Source organism: Homo sapiens, chromosome 22 (genome assembly GCF_000001405.40).
Source record: "Homo sapiens chromosome 22, GRCh38.p14 Primary Assembly".
NCBI lineage: Eukaryota > Metazoa > Chordata > Mammalia > Primates > Hominidae > Homo > Homo sapiens.
Window position 1 is genome coordinate 32,912,927 of NC_000022.11, and position 25,178 is coordinate 32,938,104.

At 43.7% G+C, this 25,178-nt stretch overlaps 1 protein-coding gene across 18 annotated transcripts in view; it reads right to left on the minus strand.

Moving 5' to 3' along the window:
- SYN3 (synapsin III) overlaps nt 1-25,178 on the minus strand; it is a 550,562-nt gene that overhangs the window by 405,107 nt on the left and 120,277 nt on the right. For all 18 annotated transcript variants that reach the window (NM_001369909.1, NM_001369907.1, NM_001135774.2 and 15 more), the window contains one exon: nt 18,464-18,555. In NM_001369909.1, coding sequence (NP_001356838.1) covers nt 18,464-18,555 — 92 coding nt within the window. The remainder of the gene's footprint in view (nt 1-18,463; nt 18,556-25,178) is intronic.

The window sequence follows — 25,178 nt, forward strand, 5'->3', positions numbered from 1 at the left end:
CACATTTGCCAAAGCCCATAGACTAAATAACACTAAGAATGAGCCCCAGTGTCAACTAGGGACTTTGGACGACGATGGTGTGTAGATGAGGTTCGATTATAAAAACTATACCCCTCTGGTACAGGATAGTGAGGGAGGGAAGCTTTGCACGTGTAGGGGCAGAGGCCTATGCAAACTGTACTTTCTGTACAATTTTGCCATGAACTGAAAACTGCTCTAAGATGTAAACTCTATTAATTTTTTTTTTTTTTTGAGATGGAGTCTCGCTCTGTCGCCCAGGCTGGACTGCAGTGGCACAATCTCAGCTCACTGCAAGCTCCAGCTCCCAGGTTCACACCATTCATTCCCACTCCTCCAGAGTAGCTGGGACTACAGGCACCCACCACCATACCCAGCTAATTTTTTGTATTTTTAGTAGAGATGGGGTTTCACCATGTTAGCTAGGATGGTCTCGATCTCCTGACCTCGTGATCCGCCCACCTCGGCCTCCCAAAGTGCTGGGATTACAGGCATGAGCCACCCCGCACAGCCAAGTCTATTATTTTTTTTTTTTTAAAGAAAAAAACAGAAAAACTCTCTGGCTCCTGTGTAGAGAAGAGATTGGGGGCAGGCAGAGGAGAATGTGGGCCAGTTAGGTTTTTCTATTTTCTTGCTGGGCTCTTAGGGGCAAGTTATAGAAGCTCTGAGAGCTTCAGTTTCTTCATCTGTGATATGGGGACAAGAATATAAAGTGACACAGTGTGTGGGGAAATGCCTCACAGAAAGCCTGGCACAGGGCAGGCGTTCAATTCATGCTGCCGGAGTGGGGAAGAATGACAATGCGAAGAGCCGCAAAAGGTGTCAGGACACAAGAGCTCTTTGTGCAGGCACAGTGGGCATCCTGTGGTGCCGTTTTGTGGCAGGTCTCACTGTTTATTGGCAGGAACAAATAAAAATAGCAAAAGTCTCACTCTTTAACGGGAGAGGCAAAACAAGCGTATGTTCCAAGCATAAAGTTGTGTTTTGTGCTTTGATGAAAATCGACAATAATCGTAGCTAAGATTTATTGGGTGCTGACTATATGGCATTGTTGCAAGGCATGTTTGTAAGCGTTTAATGTGAATTAGCTCATTTCACTCTCCCAACCATAACTTAGGTTAGTTTCTATTATTATCTCCATTTTGTGTTTGGGGAAACTGGGGCACAGCAAGATTCGTTAACTTGTCCAATGTAAGTGACAGCGCTGGCTTAAGAGAGAATCAAAAGATACAAACCTGAGCTAACAGAGGAAATGGGATGAGCATGCTTAGAACAGTTTTGAAATAGACAAAAAAGACGAGTCATAGTCATACTCAATCATGTAGAAAGCAGCATGGTGTAGAAGTTAAGAGCATGGATTTAGAATAAGCCAGCCTGGATTTAAATTCTGGCTTCTCCACTTTTGGGGTAACCTCAGGCAAGTTATTTGGCTACTCTGTGACTCAGTTTCCCCATCTGTAATATGGGGATAGTAACAGGCCCTATCATGTGGAGTTTTTTTTTTTTTTTTTGAGACGGAGTCTCGCTCTGTTGCCCAGGCTGGAGTGCAGTGGCACAATCTCGGCTCACTGCCAGCTCTGCCTCCCAGGTTCGTGCCATTCTCCTGCCTCAGCCTCCCGAGTAGCTGGGACTACAGGCGCCCGCCACCATGCCCGGCTAATTTTTTTTTTTGTATTTTTAGTAGAGACAGGGTTTCACCGTGTTAGCCATGAGGGTCTCAATCTCCTGACCTTGTGATCCGCCCGCCTCGGCCTCCCAAAGTGCTGGAATTACAGACGTGAACCACCATGCCTGGCCCATGTGGAGTTGTTTTGAGGATTAAGTTGGAAAATGCATGGAAGCTCACTAGCTTATCACATTATATGGCAAATAGTAAGAACTTGATACATGTTTGAAAACAAAGGAAGGCTATAGAGATTTCTAAAAGAGTAAATTTGGAGCTTCAAGCAAGGAGTGGGGCTCAAACTAAGGCTCAACAGTTCTCATATAACCAGGTGCTGCAGCTGGTGGCTGCAAATATGAAAGCAACTTGACCTCTGCCTTCAGGGACCGGACAGTCTGGTGGGGAAGGCAGGCTCAAGTGCAAGTTATTTTTTTAAAAGCAGGCTATAAGAATTATTCATTCAATGAGAACACATGGACACAGGGAGAGGAACATCACACGCTGAGGCCTGCTGCAGGGTGGAGGTCTGGGAGAAGGATAGCATTAGGAGAAATACCTAATGTAGATGATGGGTTGATGGGTGCAGCAAACCACCATGGCACATGTATACCTATGTAACAGACCTGCACCTTCTGTACATGTACCCCAGAACTTAAAGTATAATAATAATAAAAAAAGAATTATTCATTCAACCAAAATAGTGCCATTCATTCTAAGTACTAGGGATGGAGTGAATTATTTACAAAACAGATAAAATTCCTGCCCTCAAGGGGCTTATATTCTGGTGCCAGAGGTTGGGTAAGGAACATATAAGCAAGCATAGCAGTAGCAATGAGGGCTGTTAAAAAATAAAGCAGGATGACGGTATAGAGATCCACCTGTGTTATTCTGGGTAGGATGGTCAGAGAAGGAAGTGGTAATATTTGAGCAAGGCCGAAATGTAGTGAAGGGGAGAGCCATGTTAATATCTAGGGGAAAAGCTTTCCAGTTGAGGGAATAGCAAGTGCAAAGGCCCTGAGGAGAGAATATGCTTGACCTACACAGAACAGCAAAGGATGGAAGTACCATTGTGGGTAAGGGGCAGGAGGGTGGAGAGGCAGCAGCAGAAGCCTAGATCATATGAGGTTTTGCAAACCATAGTCAGGATTGTGAATTTCATTCTAACAGGGATGGGAAGCCCTTGTAGAGTTTTAAACATGCATTTGGCATCTGATTTAGTTTCAGAAGAATCACTCTGGCTGCTGTGTAGAGAACAGATTGAAGGGGGAAATGGTGGATTAGCATGTCTTCAAATTCTCTGGCCCTCCTTCCACTGAGAGGTGGGGTGTCCTTAAACCTAGGTTTCCCCTGTGCCTGTCTTTGACCACTAGAATGAGGGAGAAGTTGTGCTGTGTAACTTCTGATGCTAGTCCTTAAGATACCTGCAGCTTCTGCCCCTCTTGTAATGTGCCCTCTTGAAAACCAGCTACCACATGAGAAATCTGACTATGCTGAGACCACATGGCTGTGAGGAAGCTCAATAGCCACGTGAAGGAGCACCAAGGCAACAGACTGAATGTGAAGTTTACTTGGACCTTCCAGCCCAGCCAAGCCACAAGCTGAATGCAGTCAAGTGAGTCATCCCAGGCAACACTGCATGGAGCAGAAGAACCACCCAGCTAAGCCCTGCCCAAATTCCTGGCCCACAGATTGAAAGCAAATAAAATGGTTGTGGGTTTACAACACAAAGATTTGGGGTAGTTTGTTCCACAAAAAAACTTTATACAAATCTCCACTTTATAAATGAGGATACAGATCCAGAAAGGAAATAATTACTGTCGGTAAGTGGTTGAGCTAGACTTTGAACTTATAACTTCTCTAGGCAAGTTCAATTTTTTTTCTTGGTTTATGACTGTTGCTAAAATTTCCACATTTATTTTAAAACCACATAGAACAAAATAAAATCATACAACATGTTATTCTGTGTTTTAGTTGCCTGCATGCTGCTATTTTTCCCAGGCTAGCTGTGCAATGGCTTTTAAAGTGGGGTCTGTAGACCCCTGGTGCTAGAGTCACTTAGGCGAAGCTTGAAAACATGCAAACTCCTGGGTCTCACCCAGGAATCTGACTTTCTGGTACCAGGGCACAAGCATTTGCATTTTAATAAGTAGGGTAGAGGTTTCCTAAATTATTCACATCACGAAAGGTTTGAATGTCAATAAACTAGTGGATCAACAAGCCCTCAGGAAGCAGATGGACATTTTAAATGAAGATAGAGAGTTTGCAAACAGTAAATGCAAACTGTAAATGGAGCACTCCATCCCTGTTGTGGGGCTCTCCTCACTACACTGTGTTGCCTGGGTGAGGAGGGGGCCCTAAGATGGTCTCCCCCCAACTCTTCTCCCCATGAGGCTCATCTCAGGGAGCAGGGAAGGGTGTACAAGACTAGTTGTGGGGTATGAGATGAAGCAGGGGTAGAGGGAACATTCAGAGAGCATTCACTATATTTCAGGCACTAACAATTGAAAGACTTCCTCATTTAGTCCTCAAAAAGAGGCATTATTTCCATTTTACAGTTAAGGAACCTGGGAGTCAGAGGTAAGATTACTTGTACAAAGCCATACAAACAGCAAACGGGAAGTCAAGATTTGAACCCAGGACTGCCAGACACCAATGCTAGTGTTTTTTTCCAATATTAAGCTGTGTCAACCAGGTGGAAGGATCGTGTGATATGAAATCATATCAGAACTGGAGACCTACTCCTCCACCTGTCAGCTATGTGGCCTCGGAAAAACGTCATTTCACTTCTTTCAAAGGGAGGATGAAATGTCCTACCACTGAGAAGTACTGGGTACCCAACAGCCTTTTAGTAAAAGGTGATTGCTTCTGAATGAGAAGACGCCAGGATGCCAAGGCCAAAAGTCTGAAGTGGCCACCGGGCAATTTCTCCCACAGTGGCATATGTCAGGGCAGGACAGGTTCTTGGGGGGTGGTGGAGTGGGACCCAGAGCTGGAGTCATTCCGGGTGTGGCTCCAGCACATGGGAAAGTGCACAGGGTCAGCGGGGCGCAGCCAGCGGCCTCACAGTCTTTCCCATCCCCAGTTTCTGTGCTTCTGGGAATCAGGAGCCACACTGTTTTTCTCTGTCGGACCCGAGCTCTCTCTCCCAGGGGAGTTGGCAGATCTGCCGCTGGCCTGTTGGCTGGAGGTGCACAGCAGCGGAGCCTGGCATCGCTTTACAGGCTCACACTGCCTCTTTCTTGTGCTGCTCTCTTCCCGTTCCCACGCCCCACCTCTGCAAGTCCCCAGGGATCCTGCTTTCTCCGGCAGTGGCAAGGGCAGAGGCCCTGGGTGAAGAGATTAGATGGGGGCTTCCCCCTCCAAGGCTGCTCTGCTGGGCCCCTGGACGACCCTAAGTGCCTGACCTTGCAGACCACATCCCCGCCTGGGGACACAAGGCTGTGGGTGGTGGGCTGTCAGGAAGTCTGTGCCTGGTGCAAGCCAAGGCCTGACTCCCCTCAGCCGTGAGCTTTTCACTTTGCAGAGTTGTAGGATTCTTATTCATGCAAAGAGTCGGCTGGTCATGAATGCCTTCAGCAAAGATTTAGGCATTGTGCCAGGTGCTGGGGCCACAATTCGGAAAAACAGCTTAACTTGATCCTCAAGGAAGGTTCAGTCCAGGGGGAGACGGGGGAAGTAAATAATAATTACCCTCCTGAATCAGTTATAGTACAGGAAGAGCAGTAAGACCAGAACACATAGCTGTTGGTGAAGGGCTGGTGCATTCCTTCATTCAATGAACAAATAGTTATTGAGAACCTGATATGTGATATGGGAATATAGTGGGAACAAAGCAATCTTTCTGGCTATCTAGACCTTCTGTTCTAGAAAAGAAACAACAAAATAAATTATACAATAGCATATCTTATATCTCTATATTATTTAATATTATATGTCTCTGTATTAGCGATCTAGCTAGAATCGCTTCAGGCAGTGATAAATGTTTGAAGGAAAAAAAATGCATAGTTGGGCCTAGAGAGTGCGGACAGCACGGTCTGGCAGGGTCTCCCTGAGGAGGCGACATGAGATCAGAAACTCAGTAGGAGGTGCATGGGTAAGAGTGGTCACATCTGCAGAAATGTTTCAGGAAGAAGGAGAACTAGCAAGCGCCGAGCTAGTAACACAGACACCATGGACATGCTTTACACATACCACATCTATGAAGTGAGGACTCTGTCCCCACTTCAGGTGGGGAGGCCAAGAGCTAGAAATAGGGAGTGACTGATCGAAGGCCTTGCAGCTTGGAGAAGGCAGAGCCGGGATCCAGCCCAGGCGGTCTGCTTTGCCTACACAGGTGGCCTCTGTGCCATGAAGCCAGGCCGCCTACCTGGGCTAGTCCTAGATGCTTTGTGAGCTCGGAGGTGGGCACCAAATTCAACTTCAGGGAGGGAGAGAAGCGGGCACAGAAGCACAATCTTGATGGATGAGAGCAAGGTACATGCCAAGCCAAGGAAGTCTCTGCCTTTCTCCTTCCCCTCATTTGGCCCCCAAGCTGCCACTTACCTGTGTGCATGTCCACCCAAAGTTGAGAGAGAGGGAAGCTCCACCCTCCATACACACGGGGCTCGCTCTGCTCACTCTGTTTTCCTCTCCACTCAAGTCACCTCCTCAGGAGGCCTTCCCTGCTTCCCACACCTCAAATACCAACTTCTCTGTTGCTTTTGCTTCACCTGTTTCTCATGACCTGCCCTTAGCCCACATATCTGCTTACTTATTGATTGTTTTCTGCAACTCTAGTATCAGCTCCACAGGAGCTACTGTCTATTTCATTCACCACTGTACCCTCTGTGTCTGGCACATAATGAATGAAAGGAAGGAAAGGAGGAAGCAGCTTAATGCATACAGAGACATTTAGAAGAGGTGAAGGGAACACTTTTCCAAACACACACACAGGTACCTGGGAGTGAGTGCAGGAACTGTGTTCTATGTAATGTTTGCTGGAGCCTGGCACTCGAAATTTGCCTCTAATAAATTCTGTTGAATGAATGGATATCTGGAATTTGAAATTAAAAGTTCAGGAAGCCCAGAAGAATCTGGGCAATTATGTATGAAATAAGGAGTAAAGAAATGTTATTATAAAAATTAAGTTTCTTGATGGGATGTTAGAGAAGTCCCAGGATAGAGATTCAGGAGTCAAGGGCTCATTGTGGCTCAGGGGCTGATACGCTGGGAGGATTTGGAAAAGCCACCCTTCTCTCTTCCCTAAGTCACAGTTTGCCCATCTGTAAAATGGGGACACATAGAAAAGTCTAAGGGGCTCTTCTGACTCTGGAACTCTAAGATTTTATAGACCATCCCCTCCTCTGGGACAAGCCCATGCATCTCCCTCTTGCCCCAAACATCCTCCCTACAAACAGTAAGCCTGGGTGGGAGCTGGGGAGGGGGAGGATCTGAGAGACTCTGATGCCTTTCGTCAAGGTCTTGCATTACTGATGCTTCCTGGCTCCTGCTCTTCAGCCCTCTCTGAGGTCTGACCTTCTAATGAGCGGATGCACATTATCAGCCGCTGCGGTTTGAACGGGTGCCTATAATTTAGTGTTGCCTAATGCTGGAAACTGAGAGCAGAACTTGCGTAATTAGATTGGGGTCTCATTAACGTCTGCCTCCTCGGGTGTTTTTCATTCTTGGTTTCTCCTGCCCTGTATTTGCAATCCCTTCTGTCTGTATAAACATGGCTGTCCCTTTTTATCTCTCCCTTGTGGGGCCAGGCTAGAATTTGGGTCCAGAACAGCGAAGGCACTCACAAAGCATGAATTTTAACATGCCCCGGGATGGCCCCTGCTCTGCTTTCTAAATAGAGAACCTGGATGTCTGGGTTGCGCTTAAGCACCTCGAGCTGGCTGGCTGGCCACCCTGGGTTTGGGTTTGGACAAAAACCAGAGGAAGGAGGGCTATCAAGACAGCTGCTGCAAATACTGGTGATTTAACCAACTTGTGTACAATGCTTGGCCATTTACAAAGCACTCCTAGAATCTGACCTTGTAAGCAGGGACCTGGTCTATTTTGTCCACTGGTCCCCTAAGAGTTATTCTCTTTTTGTGCCCTCCTGACCCCATTCTATGCTTTTTCCACTCTTCTCTGCCCTGCTCTGAGCTACAGGAGATGGGTCCCTGTTGGCAGCATCAACTCAGCTCCCTTGCTGAAAGGTTTCTGCTTGCCTTTGGCCAAAGTGAGGCCCCAGCAGGAGACTGGAAGGCAGAGGGAGAGAAGGGGGTGGTACTTCTCTCTAGTGCCCACTGTGCTTTAGTGCCATGACTTTGAAGGTAGCTGAGTTCCTCCCCAGTTATAGCTTCAATGGACCAGCTCTCCTGCTCAAGTCTAGATTAAACCTACTAGATTTAGTCTAGAAATTCTATTCTCTCCTTTTGTCCCTTCACCCCTAGGGATAATGGTTTCCTTCTGTTGTCAGATTCTAAATACCTCACGTTCCCTTAGCCCCTCACACTCCTCCATAAGTTGCCCCTTCCTTAAAGTCTCTTTATTTAGACCATTTAGGGGTGAATTCTGTCTTTTGCCTGGTCCCTGTCTGATACAATACCCAATGTCTGAAGTGGTCCCTGGAACATAGTAGGTCCTTAATAAATGTTTGTGGAATGAATGCACAAACTTTTCATAGATGACATCTCATGTCATCCTTACAAAAACTATGCAAAATAATATTATTACCTTTTACAGATTAAAAAACACTGAAGCTCAGAGAGGTAAATTCTCATACCTGAGCAACAGATTTTTAAGGGAGGGCAACACTCCCATACTGTACCCTGAATGAGCTGTAGCTTCACTCTGCACCCTGGAGAAATCTCTACATACTGCTGCTTTCTGTACAGAGACTGAGTGTCCACTCACGCCAGCCTGGTGTGGGCTCAACAGGACCAGAGGCTGGTGGAGTGGACAAAGATTCGAAGACACTTGGAAATTCACTCGGTATAGAATCAGAGACCTGGGTTCAAATCCAAGTGGTGCTACTTTCTAAAAGTGTGATCTGGGGCAATGAAATCAATGACAATGATTTAACTGTCCCAGTTGTGACTCAGTTTCTTCCTCTCTAAATGGGGCTATAATAATTATTATTACACACTTAATTTAGTGATTATCCTGATCCAGGCATTGTGTTTAGCATTTCACATTATACTAACTCATGTAATCCTCACTGCAACCCTATGAGGAGGTATTGTTATTATTATTATTAGGAGGAGGAGGGGGAGTATTACAGATAAGTTACTGCCCACGGTCACACAGCTGCTGTCACCGTGGCAAATCTGGGATGTCCACCAAGGCAGCCTGCAGCCTGCTCCAGAACTGTGTTCTTAACCTTCAGGCTATACTGGCTGTCTACATTATTATTAGGCCATTTCATGAGTTCGTAACAACTAGGTAAGAAGACCATCTATGATGGGCACTTAGCACAGCCCTGGTGCACAAGGTGCCATCAATAGTGGTGACTGACTTTTCCTTGTTCCCCACCTAAAAGTCAGATGCATGGATCCTCTCCATATTTTTCTTCCATGTCGTTGTTCGATTGTACTCTTGCATGGCATTCATAGTAGGAGACATATGGCTTCTTTAAGCAGCTCTGCCCCTTGCCACACACAGGCCTTGGAGCCAGACTGCCTTGGGCTTGAATCCTAGCTTTGCCACTTATTGGCTGGAGAACTGGATGTCATTACCCCATCCATTGGTGTTTCAGCCTTTTTATCTATAAAATGGTGATTTTAATAGCACACACCCTATAGGGTTGTCGAAAGGATGAAATGAGTTAATTCATGTTAAGTGCTTGGAGCAGTGCCTAGCACGTAGGAAATGCTATAAAAGTGTTTGCTAAATAAATAAAAGTTCATGAATTTTGTATGTGCAATTCAAGCTGGCTTAAACAAAAAGGGATTTTTTTTGGCTCAACTAAGTCCGGATCCAGAGCCTTGAATAACATCATCAGGGCATCGTCTCTCTGCTTGGCTGTGTGTTCCTTTACCTTGGCTTCATTCTTGGCAGATTGTTCACTCAAGGAGAGAGATGGCCACCAGCAGCTCCAGACATACATCCCATCCGCTCTGTGGTCCCAGCAGAAAACATGTGCCTTTCATCCAAGAGTTCTGGCACTGGCCTGGCTTGGGTCCCAGTGAGATATTCCAATTGACTGGGGCTAGTCATGTGCCATCAGCTGCACACACCACACAGACTGCAAGTTGGGGAGGGGGTCACCTCAATGGAATCCTAGGTGCTGTTTGCCAAAGCAGAAGGAATGGAAGCTGGAGAAAGCCAGCAATGATCTTCTCTGCCATCCATCCTGGTCACCTATATTAGTCAGGGTTCTCCAGAGAAACAGAACTAACAGGATATATCAAAGAGGAGATTTATTATGGGGATTGGCTCACATGATTACAGAGGCTGACAAGTTCCACAAGATGCTGGCTGTGAGCTGGAGAACCAGGAAAGCTCATAGTGTGATTTGGTCTGAGTTTGAAGGCTTGAGAACCAGGAGTGTCAACCGTATAATTTCCCAGTCTATGGCTGGAGTCTTGAGAATTGGGTGGCTGCTGGCATCAGTCTTGAAGTCTGAAGGCCTAAGAACCAGGAGCGTTGATGTCCAAGGGCAGGAGAAGACAGGTGTCCCAGGTCAAGAGAGAGAGATTTAGCTCTTCCTCTGTCTTTTTGTTCTAGTGGGACCCCCAGCGGATTGGATGCTGTCTGACCACACGGTGAGGGAAGATCTTCCTTGATGAGCCTACTGATTCCAACGCTCTTCCAGAAATACCCTCACAGACGCAACAAGAAATAAAGTTTTACCAGCCCTCTGGGTAAATTAACCATCACATCACCATTCCTGAAGTTGCTCCTTGTGAGCAAGACTTCGGGAGATCTAGACCTTGGTCACAATGCATACTGGAAGTGCTTACAGGCAATTTCAATACAACGTCTACATGTCTTTGAAAGAATACACAGCAAGTCAAGAGCACTGTTTAACATTCCTATTTTGGGAGACCATAGCTAGGACTTGTTATGGCCCTATATGCCTGTGGAAGATTCCACTGTTTTTATTTATTTGTTTATTAAACTTTTATTTTAGGTTCAGGGTTACATGTGCAGGTTTGTTATACCAGTAAACTTGTGTCATAGGGGTTTGCTGTACAGATTATTTTGTCACCCAGATACAAAGCCTAGTACTCAATAGTTATTTTTTCTGATCCTCTCCCTCCTCCCACCCTTCACCCTCAAGTAGGCCTCAGTATCTGTTGTTCTCTTTGTGTCCATGAGTTCTCATCATTTAGCTCCCACTTATAAATGAGAACATGTGGTATTTGGTTTTCTGTTCCTGTGTTAGTTTGCTAAGGTAATGGCCTCCAGCTCCATCCATGCTCCCACAAAAGACATGATCTCCTTCTTTTTTATGGCTGGATAGTATTCCATGTATATGTACCACATTTTCTTTATCCAGTCTACCACTGATGGGAATTTAGGTTGATTTCACGTCTTTGCTATTGTGACTAGTGCTGCAATGAACATTTGCATGCATGTGTCTTTATGGTAGAATGATTTATATTTCTTTGGGTATATACTCGGTAATGGGATTGCTGGATCAAATGGTACTTTGGAAGATTCTACTGATTCCCCCCACTGAAGGACACACTGAGTCACAGGCTACTTAGTGTGTGTGCACATTCTCATGGGTCTGACATCCTGTAACAAATCTTGCTAAAGTGAGCTACCTGGCTGAGATTGTAAGCACCATCCTGGGCATGAGACAGAATAAATCTCAACAGCCATATGGGTCCCTGAACCCAGGCCTTTAGCTATACTGGCACTGTCTTCACAGCCCTGGCTACTCAAAATGTGATCTTCCAACAGCAGCATCAGCAGCATCCAGGAGCTTGTTCACATCCTTGCTGCTCAAACTGAACCTGCAAGACCAGATGCACTGGCTTCATCTGGGAGCTCAAAGAAAACTCAAAATCTCAGGCCATACCTGAAGACATAATGGATGAAGATCTGCATTTTAACATGAGATCTCCCAGAGGTGTGTAAACACATTAAATTTCAAGAGGCACTGCTATATTCATTTTCTAGGGCTGCTGTAGCAAGGGACCACAAACTTAATGACTTTAAACAAGAGAAATTTATTCTCTCATGGTTCTAGAGGCTAGAAGTCCAAAATCAAGGTGTTGGCAGGCTGGGCTTGGTGGCTTATGCCTGTAATCCCAGCACGTTAGGAGGCCAAGGTGGGAGGATCGCTTGAGCTCAGGAGTTCGATACCAGCTTGGGCAACAGAGCAAGACCCCATCTCCACCAAAAATTTAAAACTTAGGCAGGCATGGTGGCATGTGCCTGTAGTCCCAGCTATTCAGGAGGCTGAGGTGGGTGGACCGCTTGAGCCCAGGAGGTTGAGGCTGCAGTGAGCAGTGATCGCATCACTGTACCCCAGCCTGGGTGACAGAGAGAGACCCTGTCTCAAGGAAAAAAAAAAGCTATTGGCAGAGTTGGTTTTCTTTCTGAGGGTTTGGCAGGAGATGCCTGTCTCCTAGCTTCTGATGATTGTCAGCAATTCTTGGTTTGTCAATGTATCTCCCCAGTCTCTGCTTCCAACATCACAGGGTGTTTTCCCGTGTCTAAATTTCCCTCTTCTTATAAGGACACCAGTCATATTGGATTAAGGGCTCACACTACTCCAGTATAACTGCACCTTAATCATCACATCTGCAACAATGCTATTTCTAAGTAAGGTCACGTTCTGAGGTACTACGAGTTGAGACTTCATCTTTTTCCAGGGGAGCATAATTCATCTCATAACAACTGCCTTCAAAGTCTGCCATTCCTGAATGCTGGAAGAACTGCCAATTAGCAAATACCTGGAACATTTCTGTAACTTTATTTTTGTAAACAATGTTGTAAATTCAGGAAGAATATGGCAGGTCTAGAATAAGACTTGAAGATGTCTATTTTTGCAAAGTGATTCTTGTGTTCAGGCAGCATACCTAGGAGTGTCCTCAGCTTTTCAGCCCGTCCTGCCTCAGTGCAGGGCCATGTTGAGAACAATCTGGGGATGTTTCCTACTTTGGCTGCCACTAGAATCACGAGGGGAGCTTTAAAAATATGAATACCTAAATCCCACCCTCAGAGATTCCAGTGCAATACGTCTGGGACACTGCTTGGGTATCAGGATTTTAAAATAATTCCTAGGTGATTCTAATCTGTAGCTAAATCTGAGGACCAATGGGATAGTTGTTCTTTTTTTTTTTTTTTTGTGGCAGGGTCTCAATCTGTCATCCAGGCTCACTGCAGTGGCTCACTGCAGCATCCGCTCCCAGGTTCAAGTGATTCTCATGCCTCAGCCACTCAAATAGCTGAGACTACAGGCGCACACCACCACACCTGGATAATTTTTGCATTTTTATTAGAGACAGGGTTTTGCCATATTGCCCAGGCTTGTCTCAAACTCCTGATCTCAAGCAATCTGCCCACCTTGGCCTCCCAAAGTGCTGGGATTACAGGCGTAAGCCATTGTGCCCAGCCGGGATAGATGTTCTTGTTTTTACCTGTTACAAATGAAGGAGATCCAGCCACCCTACCAAATAGGGAAGCAGACACGAGTACAAAAAATACCAAATATGAGCACAGATTCCTAAACAATAGCATTTTAGGCTTTTTATAGTACTTGTGTGCAAAATGAGGGTGCTATGAAGAAGTACATGAAAGTATATATTTAGCATTATTCTCCTAATCTCCAATAATCAGGAACTTCTTTATGTCTCCTTATAGTTTTGTCCATTTTTGAAGTATATCTTGAGGTATTTTTATATAGTGCTTATACATTTAAAATTATTTCTTCTAAGTAAATGAATCTTTATCATAATAAATTACTTCCTTTTCCCTAGTAATGCTTTTCACCTTCGAGTCTATTTTTTCCCCCAGACATTAATGCAGCTGCATCAGTGAGCTTTCTTTTGCTGCACAGTTGCATGGTATATTTTTCCCCTTTCTTTAACTTTCAAATTTTCTATATGCTTATATTTTAGATGAATGTCTTGAATGGAAAACATTTAGATTTTTTAAAAGTTACACTGATAACTCTTCTCTTTAATTAGTGCATTTAGTCCATTTACATTTAATGTAATTATTGGTATACATACACTGGTGACACAAATATTTAACAACTCCCAGAGTACTTTGTGGGGTTTGCAGTTCTCACAAATGACCATGAGAGGGCGAATCCAGAAGATGCACAGGCATTTATAGCCTTGAAGAGACAGGAGAAACCAAGCATTCACTCTCTGGGGTTCCACTACTACTTCTGAGGTTCTTCCCTACAATGTCTGGGCATCCTGTGGCCAGGGGAGAACAAGAATATGGGCTTGGGGACAGGAGTGTGGTGGACTGGGGGACACAGGAACAGTCTCATGGGGTTAAGGTGGCTGAAGTCACTCAGTAGGCTCAAGGCAATGGCTATTTACCTACCGGTATAGAAAAGTTTCAATATTTTAATAACCAGCACTGCTGTATAAGCAATTCAGAATGATATCAGATCAGACCTGCTGTTATATTGGGTGTAAATCAACCATTTACTTTGTGTTATTTACAACACCTGTTCTGTGTTGGTTTTTAAAGCCTGCTATTAATATATTTACTTTTTTTTTTTTTTTTTTGAGACAAGATGTTTCTCTGTCACCCAGGCTAAAGTGCAGTGGCGTGATCACAGCTCACTGCAGGTTTGACCTCCCCGGGCTCAATCAATTCTACCAATTCAGCCTCCCTGAGTAGCTGGGAGGATTTCTGCTATTTTTTTGTATTTTTCATAGAGATGGAGTTTCACCATGTTGCCCAGGCTGGTCTCAAACTCCTGAGTGCAGGCAATCCACCCACCTGGCCTCCCAAAGTGCTGGGATTTACAGGCGTGAGCCACCACACCTGGCCATGTTTACTTTCTTCCCTGACAATACAAGGGCCTCAGAATATCTTAATTCCATTTACCCTCAATCTCTACTAACTTAATGTTGTATATTTTAATCCTTCATATATTTTTAAATCCATAAAATTATTTTATTGTCTTTTGAAGACAATACCTATTAACACCACTTTCTTTGCCCTTCATATAATCTTGCAGCTCTACGTTAATCTGAGGTCATTTTATTTTTGCCTAAAGTACATACATACTTTACAGTTTCCCTTTGTGAAGGTCTGTAAATGTTTTTATTTTGCCATCATTCATAAAAGATGTTTCTCTGAGGATAGAATTATAGGTTGGCAATTAATTTCTCTCAGCACACTGAAGACATTTTTCCACCACTGTTCTCAGGAAGCTGCCAGTCTGTTACTTTAACAAAAGTACAGATGTTCCTTAACTTACAAAGGGGCTGCATCCCAATAAACCCATTGTAAACTGAAAATATCCTAAGTTGAAAATGCATTTATTGGCCGGGCGCAGTGGCTCACACCTGTAACCTCAGTACTTTGGGAGGCCAAAGTGGGAGGATCATGAGGTCAGGAGATGGAGAACATCCTGGCTAACACGGTGAAACCCCGTCTGTACTAAAAATACAAAAAATTAGCTGGGCATGGTGGTGGGCGCCTGTAGTCCCAGCTACTTGGGAGGCTGGGGCAGGTGAAGGGTGTGAACCTGGAAGGCAGAGCTTGCAGTGAACCGAGATCGCACCACTGCACTCCAGCCTGGGCGACAGAGCGAGACTCCGTCTCAAAAAAAAAAGAAAAAAAGAAAATGCATTTATTACCCCTAACCTACCAAACATCATCGCTTAGCCTAGCCTACCTTAGACATTATCAGAGCACTTACATTAGCCTACAGTTGGGCAAAATCTTTGAACAAAAAGTCTATTTTATAATAAAGTGTTGAAGATCTCATGCAATTTATTAATGCTCTGCTGAATGAGTGTCACTTTGCATCATCACAAAGTCAAAAAATCATAAGTCAAACCATTGTAAATTGGGGACCATCTGTAATCTGCCTTTTTTCCTCTGGCTTTTTCTTTCTAAATATCACTATTGAGTCTTGGTGTGGAATTATTTTTATTTATCCGCTTGAAATTTGCCAAGCTTCTGCTTTCGGTGGTTTGGTATCTTTCCAAAACAATCATTTCTTCAAATACTGTCTCTGCTCTATTCTCTTTTACCTCTCTCTTTTGAGATTCTGATTAAATGAATATTAGGCCCTCTCCTAGAATCTAACAGTCTTTCCTGCACCTCCGATCTTTTTCTCTCTGTGCTTCCTTCAGGATAATCTCTTCAGCTGTACCTTTCATTTCATAAACGCTTTTTCAGCCATGTCTAATGTGATGTTAAACACAATAATTTTGATTACTGTAGTTTTCATTTCCAGAAGTTGTGTTTAAAAAAAAAATGGTTGTATCGGCTGGTCGCGGTGGCTCACACCTGTAATTCCAACACTTTGGGAGGCCAAGGCCGGGGGATCTCCTCAGGTCAGGAGTTTGAGACCAGCCTGACCGACATGGCAAAACCCTGTTTCTACTAAAAATACAAAATTAGCCTGGTGTGGTGGTGCATGTCTGTAATCCCAGCTACCCGGGAGGCTGAGGCAGAAGAATTGCTTGAACCTGGGAGGCGGAGGTTGCAGTGAGCCAAGATCATGCCATTGCACTCCAGCCTGGGCAACAAGAGCGAAACTCCATCTCAAAACAAACAAACACAAAAACCTGGTTATATAACTTTTTTTAGTGTCCTTTTCTCCGCAGATATCTCCATACCTGATTTTTTTCAATTTGATATGTATAGTTTTTAAAAATAACCTGTGTGATAATTCTAATGTCTTCTGTCTTTGAGGTTCTGTCTCCATTGTCTATTGTTCCTGTTTCACCTGGTTATCTTTGACTACGTACTAGCTATTATACAAAAAAATTATTTGAAGGATCATTTGAAGCCTAGCTTGAAAGTGCCTTCCTTTACATAGGATTTGCTTTTATTTCTGGCATGTCTGGGATCACCATAAACCAAGTTCAATGCCTGAGGTTTCCTGGAGGGCTGGGGTATTCAAACTGCAATTCAAGCTGCAAGTACTTGTGAGGGCTCACCTACTTGTAATTCATGTTCACCTAGAAGCTGTAGTCCTTTGGGGAATCTCAGCTTATTGTGGAGAGGGTCTACTGTTACACTCCCTATTGTGAGTGGCCCTGAGTGTTGATTTCTGTCTCCCTTGCCTCCACTAAGCTCTCAAAACCAGTTGCAAATTTGGCTGATCTAGTGAATACTCTCAGGATACAGGTGGCTTTGTACTCATTTACCTGTCTGGGTTTTCATTTTCCCATCAGTCTCTTCCTGGTAATTCCTTACTGTCACACCAACTCTTAGAAGGCCTTTAAAGACTGTAATTATTTAGTATCAGTTTTTACGTTGTTTTCAGGGGAAAAGCTGGTCCAAATGACCTAGCCCACCGTTACTGGAAATAGGAAGCCAAATGTCTTTCATGGCATACAGTAGGCACTCAATAAAGAATGGCTGAATTAGTTGAATTATCATAATTTACCAAATGATATGGTTTGGCTGTGTCCCCACCCAAATCTTATCTTGAATTGTAGCTCCCACAATTCCCATGTGTCATGGGAGGGACCTGGTGGGAGGTAATTGAATCATGGGGGCGGGTCTTTCTCATGCTGTTCTCGTGTTAGTGAGTAAGTCTCAAGAGATCTAACGGTTTTATAAAGGGGAGTTTCCCTGCACAGGCTCTCGTTCTCTCTTGTCTGCCATCAGGTAAGATATGCCTTTCACCTTCCACCGTGATTGTGAGGCCTCCTCAGCCACGTGGAACTGTGAGTCCAGTAAGCCTCTTTTTCTTTATGAATTACCCGGTCTCGAGTATATGTCTTTATCAGCAGCATGAAAAAGGACTAATATACCAAACATGCACCTTTTTTTTTGGATCTGTCTTTATTTGCAGAGGCTGTTTCCTACTCTTAGGATATACTTCTCTTTCCCTACACCCAGCCTGAGAATGTCCACATTCTACCATTGGACCAGGCTCAGAACAAATGTTACCTTTTCCTCAAAGCTTTTCCTGTTTTCCCTCCTTCCCCAAATCTGAATCCTGTCTCTTCCTTCTCTAAACCCTCATGAGACCTAGTGTGTATCGTTCTCTGGGTACTTAACTAGATAGCAATGTATTCATACATGTGTTTATCTCGCCTATGGATTTATACATTCTTGTCATTTTTGGCTTCTGAAGAAACCCCTCACTTGCTCTCCAATTCAGCATAAATTACAAACAGATTTCTGAACATATTATATATCTAGTGCTTTTAGTTTTGGTCTACTTGGAGAAGATTCTATGAACACTTAGTCTGCCATATTGCAGGAAGTTGAATTTCATTTATTCTAATAAACCTTCCATTCGTACCGCACTTCAGAGTTAACAGGGTGCTGTCATACATGTGAGTTTCTGTAAACTTTAGCAGCCTCTAACTTCAGTGCATATCATCATGCTGCAGATGAGAAGTAGAGGACAAAAGGGACTAAATAATATGCCAGAGCAGAGCCTCAAAGCCAGAAATGGAACCCAAGTCTTTTCTCTCCAAGCCCAGGGCTCACTTGGGGACACCACAGGTGCTGCACGTATGATATGTGCCGCTGGTCATTACTACTGCAACCACACCTGGGAAGCAGACATTCTGTACAGGAAAGTACATGTGGCAAAGGAGTTAGGTCGCAGGAAGTGGACGGAGGGGTGGGCTACATGAGGTTCCACGTATGCAATTCTCAGAAGGTTCTGCATATTTTAATCCTACTTACCTCACCACTTTGGTCCCATTTCTCACGACCTGCATGTCCACCATGCAGCCCCCGGTCACATAGGCAGCTAGGTTCAACTCTGAGAATTCAGCCTGAAGAATAAAGCAAAGCAAAAAAGGATTCATCAAATACCAACGGTGGTAACAACGGTTAACACATATTGGGTACTTAGAGGTACAAAGTACACCTTTAAAGCTCCCCTCAAACTTAGGAAGTTGCCGATATTATTTTCATCTTTCTTTTTGAAAGATGAGGAAGCTGAGGCTCTAAGAGGCCTGGTGGCATGTCCAAGGCAGCACAATTAATACAAGGCCAAACTGGATTGAAGCCCATGTGTCTCTGATTCAAGGACCTATGCTTTTAATCCTTGCTAATTTCTGCCTCTTTGAAGGTGGAAGAGGCAATTCCAGCTCCAAGACCAGAACATGCCAGATGCTGTTTGATGGGACATTTTCTCTAGATTTTCTCACCTTCATGCTCTACAGTAGTATGGCATCATGACTCTGCAGATGCTGTTTGATGGGACATTTTCTCTAGATTTTCTCACCTTCATGCTCTACAGTAGTATGGCATCATGACTCTGCAGATGCTGTTTGATGGGACATTTTCTCTAGATTTTCTCACCTTCATGCTCTACAGTAGTATGGCATCATGACTCTGCAGATGCTGTTTGATGGGACATTTTCTCTAGATTTTCTCACCTTCATGCTCTACAGTAGTATGGCATCATGACTCTGCAGATGCTGTTTGATGGGACATTTTCTCTAGATTTTCTCACCTTCATGCTCTACAGTGGTATGGCATCATGACTCGGTGATTATTTCTCTCTATTAACGGACCCACCCCCCACCCTGGTCATATGCCCAGTTTTCTTCTCTTGGTAATGGCCCCTCCTCTTGCTCCATCCATCTGGTTACAGCAGCAGCACCATGTTTGTTCATTGACATACTGCCCTTTTGGTCACAGTTGATGGGGTAAGCATCTGACTCGGGGTGGAAGAATGAGATACTCTTCCCTGAGAGTTTGAAACTGATGAGTGAGTCATGCAGTTTCTTTCTAGGTGGTTGTATCTTTAATGCACAAACCATGTTTTCTGTCATCTGCACTGGCAAAGCACAGAAAACCAGGGTGGAGAGAGACAGAGAGAGGGAGGAATGTCACAGTCACCAAGAGAGGGGCAGGGGCAAGAGATGGGGATGTTTATGTGCCAGCTACAGACCTACCTTTGGATTTTGTGAGTTCATCTTTTGGGTTGCCTATTTGTTTAAATGAGCTTTCATGGATTTCTGTTGCTTACAACCAGAGTCCCATGGAATACATCCCTCTTACCAGATGACATGCTCCCTGGGATTTCTCACTATAACCACCTGTCTTAGTCTCCCAAGGCTGCTGTAATAGGTGGCTTAAACAGCATAAATTCATTCTCCACAGTTTTGGAGGCTAGAAGTCCAAAATCAAGGTGCTGGTAGGGCTGGTTCCTGCTGAGGGCTATAAGGGAAGGATGTGTTCCAGACCTCTCTCTTTGGCTTGTAGATGGCCATCTGCTCCCTGTGTCTTCTTACATTGTCCTCCTTCTATATCCAAAGCTCCTGTTCTTATAAGGACACCAGTCATATACACTACCCTCACTTTAATAGCCTCACTTTAACTTGATTACCTCTTTAAAGACCCTATCTCCAAATAAAGTCACATTCTACTGTGGGTTAGGACTTCAACATATGAATTTTGGGGGTGACAAGTCAACCTATAATGCTATCGGCTAAAATGCATAGCACCAAACTGTGCCTTATACACAGTAGATGCCAAAAGCAATTTCTTTGGGTTTAATGGATAAACATAACCACTCACATGTATGAAGCACTCACTATGTGCCAGGTACCGGCCTAAGCATTTTACACATATGAATTCATTTAATCCTCATGCTTGTCCAGATGAGGAAATGGAGGCAGAAAAAGATCAAATAACATGCACAGCATCATATAGTAGGTAGCAGAGCTGGTATTCAAACCCAGGCGGTGTGGCACCAGGGCCTGTGTTTTTGTTGTTGTTGTTGTTTTCAGACAGAGTTTCACTCTTTCACCCAGGCTGGAGTGCAGTGGCTCAATCTCGGCTCACTGCAACCTCTGCCTTCCAGTTTCAAGCAATTCTCCTGCCTCAGCCTCCCGAGTAGCTGGGATTACAGGTATCTGCCACCACACCCAGCTAATTTTTGTTTGTTTGTTTGTTTTTTAGTAGAAAGGGGGTTTCACCATGTTGGCCAGGCTGGTCTTGAACTCCTGACCTCGTGATCCGCCCGCCTCGGACTCCCAAAGTGCTGGGATTAGAGGTGTGAGCCACCACGCTCAGCTGGCCCTGTGCTTTTAACTGCCACACTCCATGGCCCCCACTGTTCAGCTGAATGAGGCATTAGGTGGCTTATAACTGGGAATTTTAGGGACCTAAAAACAACCCATTTAAAGAAAAAAGTTTACATTGAAGGGAAATATCATTTCATGGCAACTTAACTGTATCTCCTTGGAGTCATTTAACAGGAATTATGACCAAAGACCCAGCCATCTCCCCAGATAGCATTAGAGCAAACCGGGAGTACTTACGCCTCTTGCTGTAATTAATAACCTCATTATGCTGTGGCAAGGCGAAAAGATCACTGTGAATGAGTCCAGGTTAGTAAATAGTGGTAATGGCCTAGTTATTAAGTTTAATGCCTTAAACATTCAGTCCCATCATGTTCAAGATTCTTAGTTGGCAAGGTCACAAAGAAGAATTAAGAAGAAAAGTTGTTGCTTATGTGCGCAGATAAAAAGACATTAGAAGAAAGTTGCAAAACAGGATACCTGGTCACCAAATATATGCAGAGAGGGAGTGAAACAGAATCTTGGAAGATAGAATCTCTGACTCAAAAGTGGCAAGGACCCAAGGGCTGTCTCGCTGCCCAAATGGAAAGAGAGATACCTGGAGAGAAGTCACACTCAGGCTTGGATGTACAAGTTAGAGGTTCATCTTGTTCAGATGTGGGTGTCTAGAGTTATTTCTCAGTTGTGGTTTATGAATAATTACAGGAGATAACTGCCTGGGTTGCAAGGTAGCCAGCTTCCGTGGGATCAAGCAGAAAGGTGGCCTAGCAAAGTAAAAGGGCATTCTTCTGTTATTTAACTGTCTAAAACCTTCAGCACCATGGAAATGAACACAGAGGTGTCCAAACCACCTTCCCTTCAAGATAGCTTGATAGCCTTTCTGGTAGAATATGAAAGAGCAGCCATTTGGAAGACTCTCATGAAAATTGTAGTGAATTGAATTGTATTCCTCAAAAAGCTATGTCCAAGTCCTAACCTCTGATACCTGTGAATGTGACCTCTTTGGGAACTAGGGTCTTTTCAGATGTAATCCAGTTAAGGATATCAGATGAAATCATCTTAGACTGGTGGGAGTTGCGGGGGAGGCACACTAAATCCACTAACAAGTCCTTAGAAGAGAAGAGACGAGGAAAAGACAGAAAGACACAGGAAAGAAGATCATGGGAAGATGGCAGCAGAGATGGAGTGATGCTGCCACAAGCCAAGAAATGCTGAGAGTCACTAGAAGCTGGAGGAGCCAAGGAAGGTCTCCCCTGGAGCCTTCAGAGGGTGTGCAGCTCTGCTGAAACCTTGATTTGGGAATTTTGGCCTCCAGAACTGGAAGAAAATAAATTTCTGTTGTTTTAAGCCACTAAGTGTATGGTAATTGTGGAACCTAGCAAATTAAAATAATAACTTTGGGAATTGAATGCAATTTCAGTATCATATTCAAAGTCACCAGGGCTCGAAGAAGGTCAATGTGGCCAGGTAAAGCTCCTTTATTCACTTCACCAAAAACATGCGCATAGAAATCTGCACCTAGACTCATTCTCTCTCTCTCTTTCTCTCTCTCTCTCTCTCTCTCTCACACACACACACACAAAATAACAAATTAGTTATTCACCTATATCGCAAAAAACGCTACTATCAGAATTACTTAAATATTCTGCATGAGCTAACCTTTTCACCACAAATTATTTTGACCTCTAAGGCTTTTGGTATGGTATTTTTTTTTTTTTTTTTTTGAGATGGAGTTTCACTCTTGTTGCGCAGGCTGGAGTGCAACGGCGTGATCTCAGCTCACTGCCACCTCCACCTCCCAGGTTCAAGCAATTCTCCTGCCTCAGCCTCCTAAGCAGCTGAGATCACAGGCACCCGCCACCGCGCCCGGCTAATTTTTGTATTTTTAGTAGAGACAGGGTTTCACCATGTTGGCCAGGCTGGTCTCAAACTCCTGACCTCAGGGCGATCCACCCGCCTCAGCTTCCCAAAGTGCTGGGATTACAGGCGTGAGCCACTGTGCCCAGCTGGTGGGATAACATTTTAATACTACACATTAGGCACTGTGGTATGGACAAATGAGTACTCAGAGAGACTACATTCACATGTAAGCTGTTCAATATACTAGCTGATGAGTTTAGTGAAGTTACTGATTTGAATATCAATTTTGATATCTTTAAAACAGAGGTAATGATATCAATAATATCTATCTTTAAATGTTTTTGTGATGATTCAAGACAATGTATATGAAACATCCAGCACAGGGCTGAGACTCAGTAAATAGTTGCCATTATTATTTTCAAATATTCCATTGTCTTAGTAAGCTTAAACTGAAAGCATCCAAACTGGTGTACCCTGAAAAAGAACAACTCCTTCAAGTATTTATAACATATACATTTAAAAAATATATGGAGGTGTGAAATGTAAAGACTTCTGCATATGGCAACAATGAAGTACCAGAGATTACATATACACTCCCATCTTAAACAACAATAAAGCCAGACAAACTGCATTACATATCAGTTTTCAGGAACTAGACAACAGGCATTTCAGGACTATGATTCCTGTAAGAGGGAACAAAATTATCCCTATGTTTATCCTAGCTTACTGCCTAGAGGCAGTTTCCAGGCAGCAGAACAGCATGGGAGAAGGCAGAGTTCATCAGTTTCACTGAGTTAAGGATACAAAGATTGAAGTTCAGGGTAGCCATGGCAGCTAAAATTTGCAGGACAGAGTATAGGAAAAGATGAATCTGCAGAGAAAAAATAAAACAAACAAACAAACAAACAAACAAAAAACCTCACAAACTCCAGGGAGATCTATGTCTTTCGCTGAGTAACTAATTTGAGCATACATGAAAGGAAAGTAATCAAGGCCAGGAAAAAGCCATTAGGAAACAATCTCCAGAATCCACAGAGCTGGGAAGAACCCATGTGCTCACCAGCTAGAGGGTAAAGACCTTGTCAAATGGGTAGGTTACTCAAAATTTCATAGTGGGACTGAATTATCCCTGGCCAACAGCATGCTCTGGATCTAGGACGACCAGTTTGTCCCGGTTTGCCTTGGGCTTTCTCAGCTTTAAAACTAAAAGTCCCATTTCTCAGAAACTCTTCAATCCCAGTTTTACAGTGAAAGTCCCATGTCTTGGAAAACTCCTTAATCCCAGGCAAACTAGAATAATCAATCACTCCATGTAGATCTGTCCCAAGAAAAGCTTAAAACCAAGTCTTGAATGGATCAAGTTTATTACAAGTAACTTAACTGCATCTCAGAAAAAACTAAACCACTGTTTAAAGGAATCTAACAAAACCCAGCACCCAACACATCACATTCACAATGTAAAAGTAGTGACATTCAATCACAAATTACGAGGAATGCAAAGAAGCAGAAGAATATGACCCACAACAAGGAGAAATCAACGAATAGAAACAGACGTGGAAATGGAGAGATGATGGGAAGAGCAGAAATGGAAGTTAAAACAACTGTTATAAAGAGGTTCTCAAGAATGTAGATGGAAACAATACAATGGGAGAGAAAGAAACATATTTTAAAAATTAAAAATGAAACTTGTAGAGATAAAAATTATAATATCTGAAATAGAAAATGCACCGCTAGGCTTAACAACAGATTAGACACTTGTATCAGTCTGTTCTACACTGCTATCAACTACCTGAGCCTAGGTAGTCTATAAAGAAAAGAGATTTAATCAGCTCACAGTTGTGTGGGCTGAACAGACTTCTGCTTCTGGGGAGGTGTCAAGAAACTTACAATCATGGTGGAAGGCCAAGGGGGAAGCAAGCACTATCCTCATATGGCAGAGAAGCAGGAGAGAGAGAGAGCAAAGGGGGAAGTGCTACACACTTTTAATCAACCAGATTTTGTGAGAACTCTATAATGAGGACAGCAAGGCGGATGGTGCTAAATCATTAGAAACCACCCCCATGATCCAGGCACCTTTTGCCAGGCCCCACCTCCAACAGCGGGGATTACAATTCAACATGAGATTTAGGTGGGGCACAGAGCCAAACCATATCATGCTGCTGAAAAAAATGCTAGTGAACTTGAAGAGAAAACAATAAAAACAACCCAAAATGAAGCACAGAGACAAAAATACACACAAAAAAAAGCAAAGAAAGAAAAAGAGAGCAGAACCTCAGTGAGTTATGGGATAATATTAAATAGTCTAATATATGAGTAATTAAAGTCTCAGTAAGAGAAGAGGTAGGGACAGAAAATTTAAAACAAAATGGCCAAAGTTTTTCTACATTTAATGAAAACTGGACCTAACAAGTTCAATGAATCATAAGCAGAAGAAACAAAGAAAATAAACAGCAGGACATAGAATAACCAACTTATTAAAAACCAGTGGTGAAGAGAAAATC